This window comes from Homo sapiens, chromosome 12 (genome assembly GCF_000001405.40).
Source record: "Homo sapiens chromosome 12, GRCh38.p14 Primary Assembly".
Taxonomy (NCBI): domain Eukaryota; kingdom Metazoa; phylum Chordata; class Mammalia; order Primates; family Hominidae; genus Homo; species Homo sapiens.
Genome location: NC_000012.12, coordinates 69,607,213 through 69,616,025, shown reverse-complemented (window position 1 = coordinate 69,616,025; position 8,813 = coordinate 69,607,213). Strand labels below are relative to the sequence as shown.

The following is an 8,813-nucleotide window of genomic DNA, read 5'->3' as shown; positions in this document are numbered from 1 at the left end:
GCATAGCCAGCTGTCACCTGAAATCTTCTTGTTTCCTTTGCTGGGGCTGTTGGTTCCTGGATTCTGTGTCTTCCATTTTGATAAAGCACTTCCTTAAGTAGCTTTCTGAGAATTTGTGCATGAGAGGGAAACTTTTTGACATCTTTTCTGCTTGAAAAGAAAATCATTCTAAATCCTACTTTTACTGGGTGTGAGATTCTATACTGGAGATTATTTTACCTTAGAATTTTGAAGGCATTGCTCTGTTATCTTCTAGTTTCCAATAGTGGTACTGAAATGCCCAATGATGTTCTCGTTTCTAGCTGTGTGTGTGTGTACTCTGTTGTCTTCTATCTAGAAACCTTTGGGCTCTTCTTTCCAGAGTGCTGAAATTTTACAGTGGTGTTGGTCTTTTTCATTTATTGTGCTACAAAGTTGACAAGTTCATCAGAGAACTCATATATGTCAGCCCTAGAAAACTCTTTCATGTACTTCTTTCATCGTTGTCTCTCCCTTTTTTTTCTTTTGTGCGTGTGCGTGTGTGTGTGTGTGTGATGAAGTCTTGCTCTTGTCACCCAGGCTGGAGTGCAGTGGCATGATCTTGGCTCACTGCAACCTCTGTCTCCTGGGTTCAAGCAACCTCTGTCTCCTGGGTTCAAGCGACTCTCCTGCCTCAGCCTCCCAGCTAGCAGGGACTACAGGTGCCTGCCACCACGCCCGGCTAATTTTTGTATTTTTAGTAGAGAGAGGGTTTCACCACGTTGGCCAGGCTGGTTTCGAACTCCTGACCTCAAGTGATCCCCCACCTCGGTCTCCCAAAGAGTGGGATTACAGGCGTGAGCCCCCATGCCCAGCCTGTCTCTCTTTTTAAATTTAATTTTATTTTTAAGACAGGGTCTCACTCTGTCACTCAGTCTGGAGCACAATGTCACAATCATGGCTGACTGGTCAACCTCCTAGGCTCAAGCAGTCCTCCCACCTCAGCCTCCCAAGTAGCTGGGACTACCGGTGAGCACGCCACTACACCTAGTTAATTTTTTAATTTTTTGTAGAGCCAGGGTTTCCCTGTGTTGCCCAGGCTGGTCTTAAACTTCTCTCACCTTAGCATCCCAAATTGCTGGGATTATTGGCATGAGCCACCACACCCAGCCTTTTCTTCAACTTTTGATGAGATGTTCTCAAGCCTTCTATTATATTTTTTAATTTTATTTTTTAAATTGTGGTAAAATATGCAAAAATTTCCCATCTTAACCGGGTGTGGTGGCTCACACCTGTAATCCCAGCACTTTGGGAGGCAGAGGCAGGTGGATCACCTGAGGTCAGGAGTTCAAGACCAGCCTGGCCAAAATGGTGTGCACTCCATCTCTACGAAAAATACAAAAAAAAAAAAAAAAGCTGGGCATAGTGGCACACCCCTGTAGTCCCAGCTATTCAGGAGGCTGAGGCAGGAGAATCACTTGAACATGGGAGGCGGAGGTTGCAGTGAGCCGAAATCGTGTCATTGCACTCCAGCCTAGGCAACAAGAGTGAAACTCTGTCTCAAAAAAAAAAAAAAAAAGATCCTGTTTTTATTTTTATTTTCTTTGGATATATACCCAGAAGTGGAATTGTTGGATCATTTGGTAATTCTATTTTTAATTTTTTGAGGAAACACCTTCTGTTTTTCTTCTATTTTATTTTTAATTGTGCTTTTTTCATATCTTTATTTCCAAGAGCCCTTTCTTATTCTTAGAATATTTCTTTCTTTCTAATAGCATCCTACTCTTTTTATGGATGTTATGTCATCCAAGAAAGGCACAGTATTTGGAACACAGACTGTAGAGCAAGATGATCTGGGTTCAGATCCCTGCTCGGCTGCGCGCTAGCTTGTTCAGGTTGCATAAACTCCTTGTTCCCCAATTTCTTTCTTTATCAAGTGGAAACAATAACAGTACATACATTTTAGGATTGCTGTAAGGATTAAATGACCTAATAATACCACACCCAGCACGCAAGTGCTATCATTAACTCTCTGAAAATATTATGTTATAGTTTATTATTTTCTTCTATTCACTTCATTTTTTTGTCTTGATTTTAAACATTCTTATTTCAATCTCTGATTTTCACGTAGGAGATCTTCTTCAAGTGTTTTGTTATCTAAAGTGCTGCATGGAAATTCCGTTTGGCAGGGCAAAGTTTGTCACCTTGTATGGTTCAACAGGAGCCTACCCTGATAGAATTGTACACTGTGTGAGATCAGGGTTTTATCTATCTTGTTACTCATTTGATTACCTGCATCTAAAGCATAGTAGGTGTTCAGTCAATATTTGATAATATCATTAAACCTCTCTGAACCACACACAGTTTTCTCATCTGAAAAGTAAGGTAAAACATATTTATCTGGCTGGTGTTGCAAGAATAGATTATATATAAGGCACCTGGTAGCAACATTATTATCATTATCATTTCTAGGGATGACACTAGGGCAGCTGCTTCATAACCATTTGTGGTCACCACTGACCATGCTAAATATAGCAGTAAAGCAGAGTTGACAGGCCAGTTATTTTAATACAAATAAGCAAAGCAAGAAGAGGGCTCAAGATAATAGCCCTTGACATTCAATGTGTAGAAAGTCCAGGAAGAACACTGGCTTCAGTCATGACCTGTGAGCAGAAAGTGGGTAGCTCTGCTGCATCACCAAACAGCTCTGTAGAATCGCCATTCACGAGGTGCTTCTCAACAGTGTGGTCCGTTACAAGCAATTCAGCAGCAAAGTCATTGGACGCGGAGCAAGGGTGTGCCAGGCTCCCTCACCCACCCTGAAACTCTATCCAGAGAGCAGGTAGGCTGATGGATTGGTTGTTTTTGGACTAGAGTTTTTAAATTTAAAATGATAAGTGCCTCTAGTTTTTTAAAAAAATCAAGAGTACAAAAGGATGTAAATGGAAAAGTCAGCATCCCTATCACCCACAAACCCTCAGGTAGATTTTCCAGAGTTAATCACCATTATTTCTTACAGATATTTTTATGCACACACAAAGATATATTTTTTCACAGATGGGAATCATTAAAAAACTATTCTGAAATTTGCTTTTTTCCCTCCCTACTTTATTTATCCGGAATCACTTCCCATATCAGTATATGTGGATTTGCCTCCTTATTTTTAGCAACTGCTGTATGTATAAAGTAGTATAAAAGATAAGCCCCCAATCTCGATGACTTCACATAATTAACATTTATTTCTCATTTACCTCAATCCTATTGGGGATCAAGTGGGAGTGAGGAGGGTAAGGAGATGTTTTGCTCTTAGCACTTATTCAGGAATCTAGGATGACCACGGCCCTGCCACCTGCAACATATGACTTCCATATACTTGGTGGCTGCTATAGTCACTCTGGGTGACAACATCCAGCCAGTAGATGGGGAAGGAGAGTGTGGAGAAGGGCAAAAGGTTTGTTTTACAATGAACCAAGTCTAGAGGTGACATCTAACACTTCTGCCCACATTACTTTGGCCAGAACTTGAAGAGTTTCCCCTGTAGACCAGCACTAGGAAATTGTCCTGGCTGGACAGCTGCTTGTCTGGAACAACTGGACACTGTGGAAGGGAAACACAAACCTTTAATGGGTGGTCAAACATACCTGACAAAGGTGCACTGTAGGAATACATCCGAATTTATTTAACATGCAGAAGGCTAGCTTGCTTCTCTTTCTTCTGCTTTTCTACTTATCTTTTGTCAAAGGCAAGTTTTTAAACTGTGGAAAGATATCATCTGATAAGAATGAAGACATGAGAAATTAGAAACCTGTAACCATTGCTGGTGGGTGTGTGTACTGGCTCAGATTTGGTGGGGTACAGAGGAGCCATCAATGAAAAACCTGTAAATGATGCATATCTATGATCCAGCAACACTTTTTTTTTTTTTTTTTTTGAGATGGAGTCTTGCTCTGTCGCCCAGGCTGGAGTGCAGTAGCGCAATCTCGGCTCACTGCAAGCTCCGCCTCCTGGGTTCACGCCATTCTCCTGCCTCAGCCTCCCAAGTACTTGGGATTATAGGTGTGTGCCACCACACCCAGCTAATTTTTGTTTTTTTTAGTAGAGATGGGGTTTTACCATGTAGCCTAAGCTGACCTCAAACTCCTGGGCTTAAGTGATTGGCTCACCTTGGCCTCCCAAAGTGCTGGGATTACAGGCGTGAGCCACCACACCTGGCCTGCTCCAGCAACACTTCTAAGGACGGTTTCTAAAGAAATGAGTGGATTGCTGCTCACATCTGTATGCACATGGATGTTTATAATAGTCATGCTTTGTAAACAACCTAGATGCCTAACCACAGAAAACTGTTTAAATTACTGCACATCCATGTAATGGAATACTATGCAGGGGTTTAAAATAATTGCATAGATATCTGCAAACATGAAAATATGTCCATGATACGTCATGATTAAAAAATAAGGTTCCTGGTCAAGTACCATGGCTCACGCCTGTAATCCCAGCATTTTGAGAGGCCAGGGCGGGCAGATCTCTTGAGCCCAGGAGTTCAAGACCAGCCTGGGCAACATGGCGAAACCTCATCTCTACAAAAAATACAAAAATTAGCTGGGCACGGTGGTGTGCACCTGTAGTCCCAGCTACTCAGGAGGCTGAGGTGTGAGGATTGCTGGAGCCAGGGAGGTAGAAGCTGTAGTGAGCCAAGATTGCACCACTGCACTCCCGCCTGTGTGACAGAATGAGACCCTGTCAAAAAAAAAAAAAAAAAAAGCTCCTAAAGTGCAATTTTAAAAAACAAATGATTACTTATAGCGAAAAGACTAGAGGACACATGCAAATGTGTACAGTATTTATCTCTGGGTAATAGAACTATGGGTGTTTTTCATTTTCTTCTTTTACACCTTTATGTAATGTGTTAATATTTTATCATTAGGGAAAAAAACAGCAAAGCTATTTTCAGCTTGAAATGAAAAAAGGTTGATAAAGGGGATTGGGGCTTAGGTGATTAAAGGCAAGCATGTGAGTCAGACATGGCCTCCCAGCCCCTGCCGGACTGTTGCGCTGTCGCCGGACACTCAAGTTGCTATCAGGAGCACTTTTCTCTGTCAAAGTGACTGGCTTTTGTCATGCAATCCCCAAGTTATAATGGGAGGGTAGGATAGGCCCCAGAGCAGTCAGCTGAGCCAGCCCCGCTCAGTGAGTCTGTCCTCTGGGGCTCGCCATGCCCCCAGCCTCCGCATGGGGAACACCATCAGGGCCCTCGTGGCCTTCATCCCTGCTGACCGTTGCCAGAACTATGTGGTCAGGGACCTCCGTGAGATGCCGCTGGACAAGATGGTGGATCTGAGTGGGAGCCAGTTACGCCGCTTCCCCCTGCACGTGTGCTCCTTCAGGGAGCTGGTCAAGCTCTACCTGAGCGACAACCACCTCAATAGCCTGCCTCCGGAGCTGGGGCAGCTACAGAACCTGCAGATTCTGGCCTTGGATTTCAACAACTTCAAGGCTCTGCCCCAGGTGGTGTGCACCTTGAAACAGCTCTGCATCCTCTACCTGGGCAACAACAAACTCTGCGACCTCCCCAGTGAGCTGAGCCTGCTCCAGAACCTCAGGACCCTGTGGATCGAGGCCAACTGCCTCACCCAGCTGCCGGATGTGGTCTGTGAGCTGAGTCTCCTTAAGACTCTGCATGCCGGCTCCAACGCCCTGCGTTTGCTGCCAGGCCAGCTCCGGCGCCTCCAGGAGCTGAGGACCATCTGGCTCTCGGGCAACCGGCTAACTGACTTTCCCACTGTGCTGCTTCACATGCCCTTCCTGGAGGTGATTGATGTGGACTGGAACAGCATCCGTTACTTCCCCAGCCTGGCGCACCTGTCAAGTCTGAAGCTGGTCATCTATGACCACAATCCTTGCAGGAACGCACCCAAGGTGGCCAAAGGTGTGCGCCGTGTGGGGAGATGGGCAGAGGAGACGCCAGAGCCCGACCCTAGAAAAGCCAGGCGCTATGCGTTGGTCAGAGAGGAAAGCCAGGAGCTACAGGCACCAGTCCCTCTACTTCCTCCTACCAACTCCTGAGGAGCTTCAGTTGCAAGTCAATGCCAAGGACCCAACTGCAGCATGTTCTGGAAGCCTCTCCATTGGAGTGGAAAGGATGGCTCTGGGTCATTTGGGAGTGGCTCTGCTAGTAGAGACTGATGGAGAGAGCCAGGTGGAATGCCATAAATCACACTGAGAAAATATTTCTGGCAAACAGCTCCTCTTCCAGAGGGGAGTTGTGTGCCAATGATGGCATGACAATCCAGAGATCATAACTTCTTTGCAAGAAAACAGCTTCTCCACACATGTATTTTGAAACACTGAAGAGCAAAAGGGGCTGGGACACTCTGAACTCCTGCACTCTCCAGAAGTGACTGGTCATGAAGCTCATGAGCTCCTCAAATAAGGTATTTGCCATAGAACTAAATATTCTGGTGGTCTGTCTCTTTGCAGGACATATTTTCTTTACTGTAAATGACCATAAACAGTATCAATGTATCACTGAGGCCACCGAAAAGGACATTTCTACCTAGGCAATCAGTCAGATTCACAGAAAAAAGTTGTTTGTTGTTGTAAAGGCTCAAGATGAAACTCTTTCCCCAGCAGTTTAGTGCCTGCTGAAAAGATCCCTGATGGACAATACTTCTTGGTGGACTCCAGCTGCCCCTTTTATTATTATTAGAGACAAGGTCTCACTCTGTTGCTAGGCTGGAGTGCAGTGGCACAATCATGGCTCACTGCAGCCCCGAACTACTGGGCTCAAGCCTTCCTCCCGCCTCAGCCTGCCCAGTAACTGGTACTACAGATGTGCACACCTGGCTAAGTCTTTAATTTTTTCGTAGAGATGAGGTCTTGCTATGTTGCCCAAGCTAGTTTCAAACTCCTGGGCTCAAGCGATGCTCCTGCTTCAGCCTCCCAAAGTGCTGGGGTTACAGGCATGAGCCACCACACCCAGCCTTCAGCTGTCACCTTAAACTTGACAGTGGCTCATGCTGATTTAGTTCATTTTCCCTAAAAGGTTTGTCCCAAGATCTGCTCCCAACAGTTGACTGTCACTGACAATGTTGGAAGTCATCTGGAAAAGAGAACCTCTGTGGTAATGTGGTCTCATTAAAGTCAAGCCTTGTTGTGATTCCTGTCTACCTCCCTGAAGCAAAGCCCTTCTGTTTATTCACACTAATGAGCCAGAGCTGAGCTAAATTGAATCCCTGTCCTTGGAGGAAAACCACATTTCCAGAAGCATGTTAGTTTAAAGGTAGTAGGTGAGAAATGTGTTCTCTTGAAACAAGCACTTTGAAATTTGAATAGGAAGTTGTAGTGTATATAGGAAGTCTCTGCCTCTTTCGCCTAGTATCTCTGCCTTTGTTTCAATTTGTTTTGATTTTTACAGACTGTTTTGACAATGTATAAACCAAGGTATTTTGTTTTTTGGAAGTATGTAAATTGTGACCTTCCCACAAATATATAAACTTTAAAGAAATTGTTGTCAGTGGGTAATTTAATAATACAATTCTTTATGTACTTGAACGTTTTCAGCAAACAAGGACACAAAAAGTGTTATCTTAACTAAAACATACAGTACCAAGTTTTTAAAAGGATGTTTTCTGTAAAAGCATCTTAACCCAACAAAGTTTGGTTCTAAAATGACATTACACAGCAGACCTATTTTCATGTATGTCTTCCTACCAGAAATATTTCCTGCTAAACTAGAGGAAGGATGATGTTGCATAATTCCTTCCTATCGTCACCTCCCATCTGCAGAGCATTTGCAACCCATTGATCAGACTGCCAAAAAAGGTCCCTTTAATCATTTAATGTAATAGGTTTAAACTTTCAGGTCAAACATATTTAACTCCTTTAGAAACAAGTCCATATTTCTGTTGGACAGTTAGGATTTATCTCATTCCTAATGACGGAAGCCAAATTATACTCAGCTGATGCTAGAAACTTTTGTCAACAGAACTTGCATTCTAAGCTTAATCTATAGCAAGGTTTATAGATTTCTGACTTTCTTTTGACCCTGTCTTACCCTTCCCAAGATTAATCGGCCATTCTGTAGTTGCAGACTATAACCATAAAACAGAGTGAAGCCAATTGATCCATACAGAACTGTCATCTAAAGAGCTAACTGGTCTGAATCAGTAGTCAAATTATAAACATTTTGGCCCATAATCAAGCTGTTTTCTTCTAAAACAGTCAATACACAAAGAACATTTCTCAAATGGTATGGTCAAGTGTTCGCTGTTGAATTTGCTTTCCAAAAATGTTTTCACTGTAGATTTTCAATCAATTTTTTTTTTTTTTTTTTGAGACAGAATCTTGCCGTGTCGCCCAGGCCGGAGTGCAGTGGCGCTATCTCGGCTCACTGCAAGCTCCGCCTCCCGGGTTCACGCCATTCTCCTGCCTCAGCCTCCCTCAGCCTCCCAAGTAGCTGGGACTACAGGCGCCCGCCACCACGCCCAGCTAATTTTTTGTATTTTTAGTAGAGACAGGGTTTCACTGTGTTAGCCAGGATGGTCTCGTCCTGACCTCGTGATCTGCCCACCTCGGCCTCCCAAAGTGCTGGGATTACAGGTGTGAGCCACCGCAACCGGCCTTCAATCAATTTTATAAAGTATATAAATGCATACTTACATTTCTATAACCCTTCTAATAGTTTCTGGAAATGTTGACACAATTAGAAAGTAAAATAAGAAAATGTTGAAGCACCAAATGTAACTTTTTTGCTCCTGATTTTTAAGTCTTGAAACTCAAAGTGTTAATGCATCAAAGGGAAAATGTCTTCCAGAAGTTTACATAGGATTTTAGATTCCATAAATAAGAGTGATGCC

General features: G+C 43.6%; 1 protein-coding gene across 1 annotated transcript; it reads left to right on the top strand.

Moving 5' to 3' along the window:
- Positions 1-5,118: 5,118 nt before the first annotated feature.
- On the top strand, positions 5,119-7,462 carry LRRC10 (leucine rich repeat containing 10). The gene has a single exon (NM_201550.4). It carries the CDS (start codon positions 5,188-5,190, stop codon positions 6,019-6,021), a length of 834 nt encoding a protein of 277 aa, NP_963844.2. The 5' UTR covers positions 5,119-5,187; the 3' UTR covers positions 6,022-7,462.
- The last annotated feature ends 1,351 nt before the right edge of the window (positions 7,463-8,813 follow it).